Source organism: Homo sapiens, chromosome 4, assembly GCF_000001405.40.
Source record: "Homo sapiens chromosome 4, GRCh38.p14 Primary Assembly".
Classification (NCBI taxonomy): Eukaryota; Metazoa; Chordata; class Mammalia; order Primates; family Hominidae; genus Homo; species Homo sapiens.
In genome coordinates this window covers 69,129,928-69,147,975 of record NC_000004.12, presented here as the reverse complement: position 1 = coordinate 69,147,975, position 18,048 = coordinate 69,129,928, and the positions used below count along the sequence as shown (strand labels likewise).

General features: G+C 33.7%; 1 pseudogene; it reads right to left on the bottom strand.

Annotated features, from left to right (window-relative positions):
- Positions 1-333: 333 nt before the first annotated feature.
- On the bottom strand, positions 334-3,237 carry LOC101060162 (UDP-glucuronosyltransferase 2A1-like; annotated as a pseudogene).
- Positions 3,238-18,048: the final 14,811 nt, after the last annotated feature.

The following is an 18,048-nucleotide window of genomic DNA, read 5'->3' as shown; positions in this document are numbered from 1 at the left end:
AAAATGTGACATCATAAAAATAGTGATATCATGAATAGGACATTTTAGAATTGTTAGTGATCTTGTGTCAGCAATGTATTAGAAAAGGATCAAATCGCCTAGGAAAATACAACAAAAGAATGCGACACTCCCCCCCGAGATTAATTGTTTAAATTTCAGGCTATATAGCTAAGATAAAATATTACAGTGGAAAATATGGAAATGGAGAGAAAGTAATGTGTTCTTTTTAAATTATCTGTGGATGAAAAATTATCAAGATTGCTCCATTCTTGCCTTTCCCAAATTTGGAAACATCTATTTCCTCTTTTTCTTCTTTCCTATTTTACCAAATTTTCAACAGAAAAACAAACAAAGTTTTGTGACCAACAATATAGTAATTGCTACGGAGACCAGCCAAAACACAATCACATCCAAAGAGTGGCACTGGTACTAGGAGAGGTTGTGGGCAGCTAGCCAAGGGTGCTTGGCTCCTTTGTGGCGCATGACAAACTCGATCCAGAAAACTGCTCAATCCAGGGGCTTTACAGGTTGATCATGGTGAATTCTTGATAATCTCATAGCATTCTGTTTATAACTGGAAAACAAGAGCACACATGGAAAACAGAGAGTTTTGTTTTGCGTTCATTAAAAAGAAGTAGGTAAACCATAGCATATATTATACAATCCAAAACCTTGTTGAATAAAAGATTGATCCTTGTTGTGATACTAACTTTGTTGGTTGCATAGCACTGAAGAGCTACAGTGGGGAAATTGAAAAAGAAGCATATTCTTAGCAGAATGGGTAAAATGAAGACATAGAAAAATACTTAGTAAGCTGGTCCTTAATTTAAATCTAGTGTTTCCAAGAAGGAAGATTGACACTCTATGCATTACCATTTCCAGGACTTGCAATGGTAAGATGATGAATGACCTGAGATTGAGGGGAAATATCTTTTAAATAGTCTTCAGGTATGGCCCCTGACATTTTCTAGTATGATTATAACATAATCAATGGTAGGTAGATAAGCCTTTTAAGGCAGTAATACTTACAAAGGATCATTAGCAACTGTTCTCAAAGACCTAAGCAATTCTGCCCGTGTAATTGTATTCATGTTCACCTGCACAGTTGCTTATTTGGCTTTCATATGAGAGGTCTTATCAGGCTGATCACCAGACATGGGAACTCCCACCATAGGGACTGCATGGTAAATAGCTTCATGTATCTCATTTATATCACCTTGAGTGATAAAAGCTTGGGTTTGGGGATGACCTAGTGTGGGAACTGAGTGAGAAGTAAGATTTTTATTATCGTATCTTAAAAGAATTTCAGAGACATGTAGGGTAAAAATCTATGAAATAACGCACTGAAGAGGGCAGAATTTTCTACAAAAGTGAACACAAAGGGCATTATTACAAAAGAAATTTGCTATCTTAAGAAAAAGAGGCATTAATTTATTCCTGCATTGCTTGAAATTTACTTGAAAAATAGAAAGTAAGAGTCCAAAAAATTAATGACCAATTTTTTAATTATATATACTTTAAAATTAAAGGTAAAGTAACAGACTATAAATTTTAAATTTTTGTTACATGTATTAGATGTTAGTTATTACATTTTTCCCTCATGAAATTTTTTATTTTTACTTTGTCATAATCTTACCATGAAGATCACTCTGGGATATCCAAACATAGAGCTGAGTATTGCTTCCTAATGTAGTTGGTTTCTTTCCTTGGAATCTCCATAAAACCTGAGGAAGAAAATGTATGCATTCCACAAGCTAAACCACAAGATAATAGTATTTTGAGTTTTCAGAGGTATTATAATTCATACAATCCAATCTATTTCAGATGATATTTGAGACAGGGGTATATAAGATTCCTTTGTAATCACTGGAAGAAATAGTAGGACTGTTTACAGTCACCTTTTAAAAGGGTGGATACCATTCAACTCTTAAGTATACCATTTATTATTTTGTTTATGGCAAACTCAAAGCTTCTATGAGTGAGATTATAAAAATAACAAAAAAATAAAGCAGTGTTGGCTAATTAGTCAGCATATGGAAATTAAATATCCTTATGGACACACAACTTCTGTGTAAATGTAAATCACTTGGCCACTCTAGCTCTATTATCAAATTTACAGTTTCCCAGAGACAAATATTGCTTTGGCTTTGTTCTGGTTTTGGATATTTGGTTGTCTTTTCTCTTTAAGCCTCCTTCTCTCCTTAATTTTATATATTTATTTTTAATTAAAAAAGAAAGAGACAGAAGTTACTTATATTTCATTGCTCAATGTTGAATTTTGTTTGTATTTGTACCTTAGTTACTTTTTTTTTTCTGGAGACCAATATGAAAATCTTACACTTGAAAACAAAGGATTACACAGTTATTCTAAACTCCCAAAAAGAGAATCTCATAATCAAGACTAATTTCACATTCCTAATTAGTTTACTTGCTTTTATTGAGTGTTTTGAAATTTAACTAAACACAAAATTAAAAAAAACCCCTCTAGGCTAGTGTATAAATATCACTAACTAAAGAGAGGAAATCTAGAATTACAGTAATAATAAATTTAATTGAACATCATAAAGTATTACATGCAGATTGTTAGCCTCTAATGTTAAAATCATAATTGGCTTTTAACCATAGAAAACTCCAGTTCATTAGAAAGACTACATAAATCTAAGCTCCTACTTTTATGTTCAAATACACTGAATAGAGTTCCCATACAATCAAATATGTTGAGGATACTACTGAGCATGATTCTTCTCTTTTTTATATTATCCCCCAATTTTTCTGTCCCTTTGAGCTATTACACTTAAGAAGTTTCTTTTGAAGTCATCAGAATAGGTCTTAGGATTTCAAATCCTGCAACGTGAAATAGGGACTTAATGCTTTATTTTTAATTTATTATAAACAAATGACATCCAAGAGAAGTGTTACAAAAGTAATAGCAAAGATCACTAGGAAAATAATCAGTTGTGCCCACATGCACTACCATAATGCTTTCCAAATTGTTACATAAATCTAGTGCCTGCTATGCAAATTGAAAAATGAGATTCAAGTTCCAGGTGGAAAGCCATACTTTCTCCACTGTGTGAATAGCTTCTTATAAGGATTGGAGGTTCTACTGACATTTTGTGGAATCTGAACCAGGGCGGAAGCCATAAGATCAGCCTTTTCTTCTGTAAGGTTTTGCACTACTGGCTCCAGAGAAAACACAACACCATCTTCATCAGAGCTCTGGACAAATTCTTCCATTTCCTACAGAGAAAAAATGTTCTTCATTATAAAGAAGTAATGCCACATAGAATAGTATAGTTTATGCATACTTCTAAAGTAAAACTGTGAAGTTGTCATATATATAGTTATATTGTCCCTATATTCTGAGATGCATTTTAGAATAGAAATGATAAAGTTTGTGTTAGAAACATACGGCTTCAGAACATAATTATTTACTAGAAAGGCACACAACCAAATAATTATACAGAACATTTAAGTGAGAAATGTCCAGCTTGTTTAATATTTGGTAGACATCAAATTCTAAAAACATAATGGTTTGCAAACTCATAAAACTATTTCAACAATATCAAGTGTCAATTTGTTGACATTTTGTGATGTCAACAAAATGATAAAATTTTAGAAACCCAACATCAATTCCCTCACAAAAGTACAACCAGTAGCTATCCAAATACAAAAATGCCACTCTGAATTCACCAGATCTCAAGGCAGAAGGAGAAAACCCGAAGACTCACAGACATGAGAAAACTTATGATTGGTAAGATGATTAATTTTTTTGGACTGTACCACCCCGCTTCCACAAGCCAAAATGACACCACTGTGAGGGAACTTCCTTTCACCTGCAGTTATTGAAATGGGAGGAGGGAATTTCAAGTGGACATTTAATTTCTTCATGGATCTGTAAATTTGAGGGGAAAGCCCACATTTGTCCCACCCCACAGACGGTATTAAGAGTGTTCAGAGGGCTGAACCACCTGGGGTAAATTGGGGACAGGAGATGGAGTAGTAATCACAGTGATCACCACACAGATCTTGGCATCTGCTTTGTGTTCCTAGATACGGGGATGCCACACAGAGGAGTCTCACCAGAACCATAGCACTGCAGGGGGCAAAATCTTAAGGAAGGCCTGAATCTTTGACAAAATTTTACAATTCCCAGGTAGTCATGTGGAGATTTTCCATGACTGGGAAACAAGTATAAGACTTGAAATTAAGTTCCAAGGCTTGTTTAAATGTCTCCCAGATCTAGAAATCACTGCAAGTCTGGGTTTAAGTTCCAGTGCAGCATTTAAGTTCAGATGCTCACAATAAGTCTCCCAAGACTGGAAAACAACATTAAAGCAAATACTGAGTTTTGGTGCAGTATTAAATTCTGGTGGCAAATATTCAGTCCTTGCCTAAACAAAAAGCAACTGGTGGCAAGGAATTAGATTCCAATATTAAGTAGTAAAGGTTGAACAACACAAGAATACACCTATAAAAGTTAGAACATGTGGATATCTCTTTAAGTATGGAAACAGCAATGTACAGATGAAAGGAAATACAACACCGCTAAAAAAACAACAGAACTCACCTAATGCAGTAGAAGAAATAAATGTATATAAAATTTCTGATAGAGAATTCCAGGCACTTTTTTTATAAAAGAGGTCAGGAAACAGAAAATATGAAGTTAAAAAAAATCCTTTGGAATATATTTAAAGATCAACAAGAGAAAATATGGTTTTTTTAAATACAGAAATTGAAAAAGCTTCAGCTAGAATAGCTACAAAAAGAGATGACTGAAATAAATGAAATAAGAGATGAAAAGGACACATAACAACTGATACACAAAAGTACAAAGGATTATAAGAGATTATTGTAAACAAACACCTTCCAACAAATTAAAAGATCTAAATGATATAGATAAATTCTTAGACATGTACATTCAATCAGAATTGACTTATGAAGAAACAGAAGCATGAGGAGAGAAATAATGAGTAATAAAATTGAAGCAGGAATAAAAACTCACATAAAAATGTGCTCATTTCATTCAAAATATTAAAAATCAGTTAAACCATTTTTCTAACTTTTTTCTTCCAAATCATTAAAGAGAATTTAATGTTTTAAAAAATAGTGTTTAATGGCTGGGTAAGGATTACCTTGATACCAAAACCAGAAAGAAGGAGCCAAAAAAATAAAAAATAAATAAAAATACAGAAAAAAAATCTATAGGCCAACTTTTCTGATGAACATAGATGCAAAAATTCTCAACAAATATTAGCCAATCAAATCCAACAGCACATCAAAAAGATTATACACTATGGTGAACTGGGATTTATTTCAGAGATGCAGGGAAGGTTAAACATAAGAAAACCAATGAATAAGAAAAGACATAACATCAAGAGAATTAAGAAAAAATATAATTTTTGTATGTCTTAAAAAAATCTTCTAATATATAACGGAATGATTTTAACAAAAATGCCGTGTTACCAGGATAGGGTAAGCTTGAATGGAGAGTGACTGTCTAATGTGTATCAACATCCTTTTAGGTTAGTGACAATTTTGGATCTAGATAGAAGTGATAATTACACAATATTGTCAATGCCACTGAATTGCTCACTTTTAAATTGTTAAAATAGTACATGTTATTTTATGTAATTTTACCTCAAATATTAAAAAAAATCATGTAAACATGTGGCTGACCAAATTTTGCCCAGAGGACCCAATTGATTTGTCAGCCCTTGGTTAATTAAATTATCATAAATTTAATTCTGACATATTAAAATAACAAATTCTGTCATTTTTATCATTTACATTTGAAATATGATACATTTAAAATACATGAGGCATTTTAGGTAAGGACTCAAATTGTGAACATTTTTCTGTCTACTTAATACTTATTATAATTAATGCAAATTTAATTTGCTACATACAGCAACTGTAGTGCTTTACAAAGTTAATGCATCCAACCTTTCATCAGCCACATGAGGTAGATAATGGCATTGCTCCATCTCCATTTCACTGATGGAGAAGTTGAGGCTTACAGGTGAGGCAATTTGCCAAACCCCACATAATTCTGTAGTGGTTTTGCAGGGACTTGAATCCAGGCTAACTGGATCCAGAGTGCAAGAGCTCTTAACCACCATGCTATGCTGACTCCCCTTTCTGGGTTACAGTTATTTTCAAAATGTTACATTTGTTGTTTTCATTTTCTTGCCTCTATATTAACTGTATATTATTATGAATGCATAATTAAGTTTTTAGAAATATGATTTTAGTTATCTGTCACTTCATAACCAACTCCCTCAAATGTGGGGACTTTGAAAAACAATAAGCATTTAATCAGAAATCTCATAACATGAGTTTTGGGTGGACTCAGCCAGGTGGTTCATACAGAGTATTTCTCAGGTTGTTACTTTCATATGGTGGCTGGAGATGTAATCATCTGAAGGTCATTCATTCACATACTTAGTGATTGATGTCAAAAGACTGAAACTCCTTCTTGACTGAATAATCATGACTTCGTAGTCTCCTCTGTGCGCCCCTCCCCAACTGCCATTTATCATCAGGACTTTGGCTGTAACACAGGGATCCAAAATGTACAGAGGGAGAAAAGAAGAGGGAAGGAAAAAGGACAGAGAGAGAGAAAGAAAGATATATAAATAAAAACAAAGACAGACAGAGACAGAGAGACAGACAGAAATAATGTACTTTTCTAACACAGTCTTCAAAATTATGCTGACACTTCCACCATGCTTTCTTTGCTGAGACAGCGACAAGCCTTACTAAATTTCAAGGGGAGGGACTATGGTTTGATTAGAATGTCACAGTATTTGCAGCCATGTCTCAAAATCACCAGAATATAAGCTGTTGAGTTAGTCAACAGAAGCCACTAAGCAACTAGCAAATTCATTATATATTGACATTAGAAACACAGTAAAATCATAAACGTGTGTGAATTTAAATTTTTACAACTACTGAAACATTTATTATGCATTGTAAAATATTTATTCATAGATATTTTAAATACAAAATAGGTTTCCTATGAACAGGCCTCAAATTAATCATATGGAGTAGAATACTGAGGTGATCATAAGTGGATCAATTCTTTCCCACTTATTCTACTGAATACACATACACATGCACAGGAAAAAATGATGTAGAACAACATATATAACCTAATATAAAATGATGGAAGAGCCAGGCATGGTGGCTCACACCTGTAATCCCAGTATAATGGCAAAAGTTCTTCTTGCCTTAGCCATAGCAAATAATTGGACCGAGAGGGGGAAAAAAAAAGCTGTAGGCTTTATTGAGCAGAGTGACAGTACAAAGCTTCCACAGTGGGGAAGGGGTCCCGAGTGGGTAGCCAGAATTAGAACACGCAGTTGCCTTTTAAACTCTTTAAGGCGGGAAATACATGCAGAGGGAAGATGTTACCAGAGCGAGAAACAAAGGCAGTAAATTATTTTGTGACATGTCTTAGATTTTGAGGAAAACTAGAATTGTAACTTAGGTTTTATCTACTTTCTTGCAGCGGCATGGCAAAGGAGACAGGATCTTACAGGACTTTACAAAGTATGTTTACAAGGAATTGGAATTGGGAGCATAATAAGGTCCACTCGTCACAGAAAAACATTTTAACATTCCTTTTGGTTTTAGTGGAGGGGGAAGGGAGAGAGGGAGAGAGTTCACAGGGAAGCTTACAGGATAATTTTCACTGTTTATAGCTTTCTTGGGGAAGAAAACATATGCATAAATTCTGATGTTAGGAATATTTTAAGCATATATCTTCAGTATTATTCATCCAGGACCAAAGTAAGTCCTGATGCAGGAAATGAGTGAGTTTCACAGCTTTCTGAGCCCCTACTAGACCAAGGAAGCCCAGCTGGCCTCTCCTTTCACCAGCACTTTGGGAAGTCATGGTGGGTGGATCGTCTGAGCTCAGCAGTTCGAGACCAGCCTGGCCAGAATGGTGAAACCCTGTCTCTACTAAAAATACAAAAATTAGCCAGATGTGGTGGCGGGTGCCTGTAATCCCAGCTACTTGGGAGGTTGAGACATGTGAATTGCTTGAACTAGGAGGCAGAGGTTGCAGTGAGGAGAGATTGTGCTCCTGCACTACAGCCTGGGCATTGGAGTGAGATTGTCTCAAAAAGAAAAAATAAAATAAAATAAAATAAAATAAAGAAGGAAGATTGTTTACTGATTGTTAAAATCAAAGGGAATTGTGCAAATAGATTCTTGTAAGAGCTGTGGCAAACTGACTTTTGGGAGGAAAACTTATGAGACGTAGTCCCTAAAATTAGGGAACAAAATTTACTCTGCAGTGTGTAGTGAAGTCCTGTTATGAAATAAATAAGGAAAAAAAATGTGTGAAACTAGAGATCTCCCTAGATTGCAGCAGAGGCAATTGAAAAAATTGTGAAGGGATGATCTTACAATACAGAACATGAGGGATGTTGCAGACAGCAACACCTGTTGAAGATTTCCTCAAGAAAAGTACATGAGGAACTAAGCAGTCACACACAATTGGAAGATTTGCACTCAAGGACTGTAGATAGAGGGAACGATCAGAATGAGATTTTGATTTTCAATTTTTATATTTATTTTTTAAGGCATTGCTCAGTTGTCCAGGTTGGAGTGCAGCGGTGTGATCACAGCTCACTTCAGCCTCAACCTACTAAGCTCAAGTGATTCTTTCACCTCAGCCACCTGAGTAGCTGGGAACACAGGTGCACGTCACCACACCCAACTACTTTTTTTTTATTTTTTGTAGTGATGAGCTCTCGTGGTGTTGTCCATGAGATTTCAAACTCCTGGACCCAAACAATCCTCTCATTTCAGCATCCCAAAGTGTTGGGATTACAGATATGAACCATCATGCCTTTACAAAATGAGATTTTTAAATAAGCATGGTTCAAATGTTCAGAGATGAAAGAGTCACTAACATAAAACAAGAATAGGATGAGGTGAGAAGGATGAGTCCAAAAATAATTAGGTATTTTTAAAATCAGAAATGTGCTCCCTAATTTTATGAAATGTTGGTTGACTACATGAAAGAAAGTGGAACTGGATGCTTGACTGATATAGCCCTCAAGAAGAATCACTTAATGCTCTAGAAATTGCCAGTAAACAGATTAAAATCAAAAAGCGTTGCTTGTTAACACCTTAGATTTAAGCTTTCCTGATTAGCTTTTCTCCCAAAGTTCTCTTGTTTCTAGTTGTTTTCCTGGTCTTAACTACACATTATATGCTTTGTTAAAAGTATTTATTCCCTGATTCAATCTGATTGTCTCAATTTTTATTTTGTTCTGTTCTACCTCTTGCAACCTGCATGTCCTCATTATTATTGATCAATCCATCTGCAATGTTTACCTTATCTAAGGATTATTCATTAATTTTTACTTGTTTACCTGACCTTTATTAATTTTGTTTCTTTGCTAGTCACTCTGAGCCATGGTGATGATGACTTAGGATTCTGGATCTCTTATGAATAACGAATTCATCCTTGATAAAGTCTCTATACTAAAGAAGAATCTAATAAAAAATATCACTTGAAAAAATGAGTGCAGTACATGAACAAAACTCTGATTGGATGATAAACACAAAAAGTGATTAATCAGTTTAATAATTAGGGACTAACAATAAAATCATTGATATATCTTCATATGCTTTTAATTAGTAAAAATTAATATCCATCATAGGTAAAGCACCACATAACTGGTGACTCCAGTGCTGGTTTGTTGGGAGTATGAATAGTGTGATGACAAGTGATGGGTATGCATGGGCCCAGCATAACAAGACTCCCTCTAACCAAGTCTGAGCTAGCAACTACTGAAACAAAAATCCAACCTGCTAGTAGCTCAATTCTTATTATACATTTGGACATCAGGCAAGTGACCACCAGTGAAACTGTGGACTCAGTGCGCCAACTCTAAGCTCATCTTTGTCAGAACCTCTATATGCCCCCACTTTCAGAAATGTTATTTTCAAAAGAAAGTCATGCCTCCTACTCATCCAAATTTTACCAAGATTCAGTGCCCAAGGGTACAACTTTTAGGATAGTAACAAATGAGAAATTTGAAATTTTATGCCTCACCAGTGTTCAATTTACTGTCCCTTGGATGCAAATACAGTTTATGATACTGAATCAGGATCCTGTAAGCATTCCTCCTTTGCCAGCTAGTTGAATGTTAAGCTTCATCAATAGAGGACACTGGAGTAATAGTGACGTGGTTGATGTAGGAGGGCACATCCCTTTCAAGGGCCCACTCTTTAGGTACTCAGTAATGTTTATCATTAATGTTGTAATTTAAGAATATGTATGTAAAAGAATATACTTAAAAATACTAAATAATATGCTTAAAGAATGTAAGAAGAAAACTTCTAATAGCACATTTGTTTTATCTTTTAAGAAATATTGCATTCTGCATAGAAATTAATTCAGAAAACTCCTACATAAACCATTTGTCCTTGACATAGATAGATTCCGCTTCATATGTTATTTTGAAGATTAAATGTACAATTATTTTATTTTTGTGTTCAACTTCTGTGGTGCTTGAATATCCCTGTCTTTAAGCAGCATATTCAAAATTCTAAAAAAATCACAAATATCAAGAATGTTATATCAATTATATCATTCTATGTGATTGCTTAGAGTTTCTCTGTTTAAATGTTTTAACTGCTGAGATATTTAAAAGCTTGTAGAATCAATCTCCAAGAAACAGATACATCATATTATTGCAACTTTTGTAATTCAATTTACTATGACATATTTATGACTCTCCATCAAGTATATCTTCATAGTCACATATTTTCCTAAATATATAGGTACATATCACTTTATGTGAAAAGACTTCTCAAAATAAAACTAGTGAAAGTTATTTGTTCACTCATGGATAGACATAGAATCATGTATCTGCATATATGGTCTAAGAATTTCAAAGAAGATCTATTTTCAGAATATACTTTATTAGGAAAGTATATTCTGATACATTTTCAGAAGATACTTCATTAAGAAAATATAAACAGATTAGAATTTAGCTTTTTGTAGTACATGTTGAGCATCATTATTGCCTCAGACTAACATTTATATATAAGTTTTTCCCTCTTTAAAAAAAAGACATTACTATAATTAAAGCCCATGTATGCATTACTTTTTTTTTCTTTTCTTGCATTTTGTTATTTCTTTCTTTTTAGTGGCATGACTGTATGTTCAAAGTTTAATAAAGTAAAATATTCAGTGTATATTTCTTTTCTAGATATTAAAATAATTTGTTTTATTACCAATTGTAGCTAAAACTATTTTTTCATAGAAAAGATTACTGTAAAAATCTTTTTCATGTGTTAGAAATGATCGTTATGCCTCTCTTCCATCCGATTGTTCAGGTACATCTCTTATCAGACAGAAGAACTGCTTTTAAGTTGGTTTCTTTCTTCTCTGTGATTTGCTTTGCAAACCTTTTTCTGAATCCAGAGGCTGTAATGACCAATATTTAAAGGCAGGATTTGGAGAGCTTTTTGCCATTTATTATGTTTTCTTCAACATAGACTTTAAAAATTATTGCACAGGATATTTGGCTCTTTATTCCATCTACAATTTACTTTTCCATGTTATGAGGGGAGAATAAGTAAATGATTATATATATTTCCGGTTTGTGTATCCTCAGTATTCCAGGTATTTAAGAAGTCAGAAATGTCTGACTTGACAAATTAAGTCCAAGAAATAGTGAGATCTTATTGCAGGAGAGAAATCATGTAACATTATAATCTAGAGAGACTGCACTAAACTTGCTGGACCGTATCTATAATTCCTAACTAAAGGGAATTGTCTCGTATTTTATTTTGTGTATTATTATCCAGTTACAAAGGGTCATTACTAAAGTGAAAATAGTAACTCAAGCACATTCAATGTCTCATGTGGAAAACATCTTTAGTCTTTCTAACCAAGGATTTTACTAGGTTGCATAGTTTTGGATAGGAAGTCAGTCACAACCATCTATAATTTTGAAAGAGAACATTCCCATTAACAAATATTTTGTATTTCATGAAGGATTTGAATTTTAAACTCCCATGTAACACAAAAGACTTGAATAATCACAATGTTAAGAGAGTTGGCCAAGTTTAGCTTAGCTTACATGTGCACTAGGTCATAAATTTGTCTTTAAAGACCACCCTAGCTTTCATGGTAGGTCTTGGCTCAAAATAATGTGATCCTGCCAAACTGAAAAACATACACTGCCTAACCCACCTTGCCTAATAATTTTCATTTATTTCCCACTTAATTTTTATGTAATTTTCCATTTTCATATAACCCACTAGTTCCTTTTTTTTTCCTCAATTTTATTCATATCAGTTTTCTCTTTAAAAGCCAAGCCTCAGTTACCTTTGTCTTAGTTAGAGTTGAGCTCAATTTGTATTGTAGTCTCTATCTCCTACTTCAGTAGGGAGAATAAAATTTGTCTTGCCATTTTTAAGAAGGATCTTGCACTGTTTTTCTTGACAGGGACACATATAATCCGTATCATTGTATTTGTTTATACAGAAGAGTTTTCTTTACCTATGTAACAAACCTGCACATCTTGCACATGTGCCTCTGAACTTACAATAAATGTTGGAAATAAAAAATAAAATAAAATAAAAATAAAAAGAGGTTTCTAAAAATTGCACAGGATATTTGGCTCTTTATTCCATCTACAATTCTCCATGTTATGAGGGGAGAATAAGTAAATGATTATATATATATTTCTGGTTTGTGTATCCTCAGTATTCCAGGTATTTAAGAAGTCAGAAACGTCTGACTTGACAAATTAAGGCCAAGAAATAGTGAGATCTTATTGCAGGAGAGAAATCATGTAACATTATAATCTAGAGAGACTGCACTGTGTTTCTAGAAACACACTACTCCTGACCTCAAATAAACAGCCTGAGTTTCCAGTGAATCTCATTTTTTTTCAGCTTAGAAATATACATAAGCAGGCATTAAAATTGAGTTATTTTAGGTTTTCTGAAATTAAAATTGTATATTACTTAATGTTTAACAAAGAGTAAAATATTTAAATAAATCAGGAAGGCACAAGTCTTGTGAAATATAGAGGAGAATTTTGCCACACCTTGATGAATAGTGGTGGCATTAAATGTCATGACCTTCCCTATCATGCCTGCCTTAGATCTCAAACAGTGCTACTCTCTCTTTTTTTTCTTTCTGGTCTTAACAAACTTTTGATAATCAAACAAGCAACATATTATGACAAAGAGAGTAAAAACTGCCTCGCAGGCCAGCACAACCAGAGAGCAGTACTGGAGCCAGGTGAGGTTGTTCGCAGGTGGCAGCAAGTATTTGGCTCCTTTGTGGCGCATGACAAACTTGATCCAGAAGACTGTTTGGTCCATGGGCTTCATAAGCTGATCATAATGAATGATGGATAACCATATAACGTTCTCTTTACAGCTAAAGGAAAATCAAATAGACATAAACATATAGAATATAAAATATAAATATGTGAAATTTTTGTGTAGATGTTAAAAATTAGTGCCACATAAAAGTGGATGAAAAAATATTTTATTTCCTGGTGGTTACAGAGATTTTGGTTTATGGGTTAGAATTTGTTGGATGCATAAGATTTCAAGATGTGAAAAGAGAATTTAAGAGAGCAAGTATTTCTATCCTAGAAATTAAAATTAGTTAAGTCCAAAGGATAAAAAGAAATCATTTGAGAGTACAGAGGTTGAATTAGCCATTAATGAAATTGTAATGAACCTGGTGTGCAAATTTCAAAATAGTATCAAAGTTTAGAGAAAGGATACAAATCTATGACAAGGTTCAGGTTCATGTCAGGGCAAAGCTGATAAGTTGGCATTGATCAGGAATTAGTATTGACATTGTATTAGTGAATTAGTGATCAAAAGTGTAAAAGTAAATGGCCTTAGTTTGAATCATGAACTGATATCTACTGGTCTTTTTTTTTTTTTTTTTTTGAAAATGTATCTGTTCCTAGTTTTTTTTTTATTGTTAAATTGAATGAATAAGAATGATATCTTGGGATAATTGGTAGAATTATTTTCATCATAAAGAGACTCTCAGTAAATGTTCACTATTATTACAGTTTTTCTTGCATTGTGATTTTAAAATCTACGTGGTGCTTTATATTTTACTTCAAGGCATTGTAGTTCCATTTATTTCGAGTGTTGAAATAATTATGGACTAATAATCAAGGAATAAGGATGAATATAAGTACAAGGCTTAGCAAGTCAAAACCAAAAAGTGCTAAAGCATGGCACTGTAGCAATAGCAATGGAGGTAACTTCTCTTTTTCATATTTAAAAAACAGAGTATGAAGACTGTGTTTTTGAGAGGAGGGAATTAATCCTGATATATATATTTTAATACAATTGGGAAAAACTATAACCAAGAAGTTACATAATACAAACTACCAATATAATACATGTCATTTCATATACATTCAATGGGTATCAACTAATTAAAAATTATCTTTATTTTTCAACACAGCATTATATGTATTAAAATTTATAATATTACCAATATAATGGTAATAGCTAAACTGAAATTAATTTATGTACTGAAGTAATTTAGAAATCCTATATGTCTGGTTTCAGACATTTTGGCTATTAAACAGGAATATTCCAATCTATCTCTTTCAAGCCAATTATTTTTTGATTTTATGAAGCTTCCAAATAAGCAAAAGCAACCACAACCATAAGAACAGAGAATGTGGCTACATTTATAAAGTATGTTCTTTTTCCAATAATCTTTAAAGGCAAATTTGAAGGCTCTAGTTGTTTACAAGTTATCAGTGATGGGATCAAAATGTTAGCATAAAAATTTTGAAAGCATTAAATATAATGGGAATTAGGGATTGATTATGTCAGGCTAATTTACTGAAAATAAATTACAAGAGTTTTAAAAACAAGGAAAAATGGGTAACTAAAGTGAAATGATGGACGTGTTTATTTGCTTCATTATGGTAGCCTTTTGACTAAGTATTTGTATCCCATAATATCACTTTCTATACCTTCAATAGACAAAAAAAAAAAATTAAAGACACATTTGATGAGATCTCATCCTAAAAGGCCCTCATAACTGTGCTGAAAATTAGTCAGTGCAGTAATAATATTCATGCTTCTTTTCTTCAACTTTGTTCTCGGTCTTCCTTATAATCCTTCTGTTACCATCTTCAGCAATTCCTTTTATTTCACTTTTTAGCTACTTTAAAACTTATGTACTATCCTAAAACCTCTGACAAATGTTTCCACTAAAACCACCAAAAAAAACAGATTGTGATACTCACAATGGTTTATTGATGATTGCCTTTAAGAGTTACCAAAAATAAATGTACTCAGCATTGTGTTCACGTTTAGAGTCACTGCTGCTTCTTTGGCCTTCATGTGAGAAGTTATCAATACATGCTATGTAGTTAAAAAAATTACATTCATGAAGAGTCATTAATGACTGCTTTTAATGCATTGAGCAAATCTGTAGTTGACATTGTTTTTGAGTCTACTCTTAACAGCTTCCCCCTCAGACTTCATGTGAACAAACTTGCCGGGTTGATCTGCAAACAAAGGAAGTCCCACCATAGGGGTCCCATGGTAAATCCTCTCATAGGTGTCATTGGCTCCACCATGAGGTATAAAAGCTTTGGTTTTTAGATGACCTAAGTTAAATTTTTGAATAATTATTCGTGATGAGTCTTAAAATTAAAATGAGCAATGCTCAATGAAACGGGCAGTGTTCTCTAGATAACAAATTACTGTAACAGTAAAACTGCATTAAAATTACTTTCAGATCTCAGAGAAAAAATCACCAAGTCCTCTGGGGCGGTTAGTGAAGACTACACATTGAAGAAGTGGTATGTGACTTGAAGAATGAATACAGGATTGTCAAGTGGACAAATAGAGCACACTGTGGATAAGGAAAACTGTATATCCCTCACTCCAGCCCCCCAAAAGCAGGATGCATGCTAGAACATGTTCTCTTAGAGAAATAATGGAGTCACTGAGTGTGATAGGTGATGGTGTCTAGGGCAGCAGGGAGTGGGGTGGTGGTGATGCTTGAAGAGAGGAAGGACAGGCCACACTCCATCACAAAATGTGTTACCACTTCATAATAAAGACTGGGAATTTATTCCCATAGAAAATGCAGTCACTCTATGGCTGTTTATTAAAAATAACAGCAGAAGGGCTGTTATTTTTCAGTTGCATTTGAAATATCTAGCTATTAGGAGAAAGGGTAGATGTAACATTTGAATTAGGAGACAGACAACCCAGAAAATTACTGAAAAATTATTCGTGAGATGTAACTACACTTGAAATAAAGGTAGTTTTTTTCAGGCCATAAAAAATTTGACTGTGTATAATAAAATGCCAACTGTTGTAGCTTATTATATTTTTCCGCAGGACTGGAACATAAATGAAAAAAAGTAAGATTTTATTTTTGAGTTTTTAAATAATAAATGGTGAATCAGAAATTTTCTGTTGTACTATATTTATCCTGATTAGCTGTTGCCTAATTTTTCAAAATATATTCTTCAGAGTCTTACCAAGAATGTTATTCTGGACTACCCACTTGTACAGCCGAGTAATTGTACTAAGGTATCTGAATTCCTGTCATCAAATTTCCATAGATCCATATAGATGAGGGAGCCTACCGATGAGAATACATGGACACATAGATGGCAACAAACACACTGGGACCTTTCAGAGAGTGGAGGGTTTGAGGAGGGAGAGGATCAAGAAAAAATAACTAATGGGTACTTGGCTTAATACCTGGGTGATGAAATAATCTGTACAACAAACCCCCAACACACAAGTTGACCTATATAACAAACCTGCGCTTGTACCCCTGAACTTAAAAATTAAAAAAAAATAAAAAGAAAGAACCTTGTTTTATGAGTCAAATTCAAATTAGAGCATGTCTGTTAGAATTCTAAAAAGGGACCAGGCACGGTGGCCCACGCCTATAATTCCAGCACTTTGGGAGGCCGAGGCGGGTGGATCATGAGGTAAGGAGTTCAAGACCAGCCTGGCCAAGATTGTGAAACCCTGTCTTTAATAAAAATATAAAAAAATTAGCCGGGCATGGTGGCGGGCGCCAGTAATCCCAGCTAGTTGGGCGGATGAGGCAGAGAACTGCTTGAACCCAGGAGGCAGAGGTTGCAGTGAGCGGAGATCGTGCCACTGCACTCCAGCCTGGGTGACAGAGAGAGACTCCGCGTCAAAAAAAAAAAAAAAAAAAAAAAGAGAAAAAAGAAAAGGAAAGGAAGAAAAAAAATTCTAAAAAGATGGAGATTACCTACTTAAATGCTTTCCATATAGTTGATAAAGAAATGAGGACGAGGCAGGTTAAGTAATGAGAACTACTAGAAGACTGAAGTGAACAGAACAACTACATTTCCTTGACTTGATTTTATATTAAATCAGATTAAATAAAATCATGATGTTTTATACATAGTGACTTAGATATTGAGATAATAAATGAAAAATTGAAATATTTAGGCAATCATTAGGCAGACATAATCCCAGTGTAAAGAAGAGTAACAAATTACTAATGGTCAACACCTTTTTTATTAATGCATTTACTACATTCATTTTCATCTTCCAAATATAATGTTAAGCTTTTCATTTCTAAAGCTAAGAAATGGGAGTAAAAGTACTTACATTCACTTGTTTCATAAGTTACATTCTCATATCTGATGATTTACAAAGAAAGCAAATCTATCAATCATCTATGTATAAGAAATATATTAATCTGCTTAAAAAGCACATATAATTTTTTTCTGATTATAAATTATTAAGCACTGTTTCCAAGAAAAAAATTCAAATGACATTTATCACATATATCCAGAATAATATCACATTTGCTACCATTGGAAATTATTTAAATGTAGAAAAGACTGATTGTCAGTTCATTAATAATAGGGCTGTTGAAAATATTCCAAAATCGCGATGATGCTAAATTTCATTCTGCTGGCTCTTAACTCTTCAATGGCACAATCCAAAGCATTGACAGCAGTGGTTTATATGGTCTGCTATAGCTAAGCCATGTAGTAC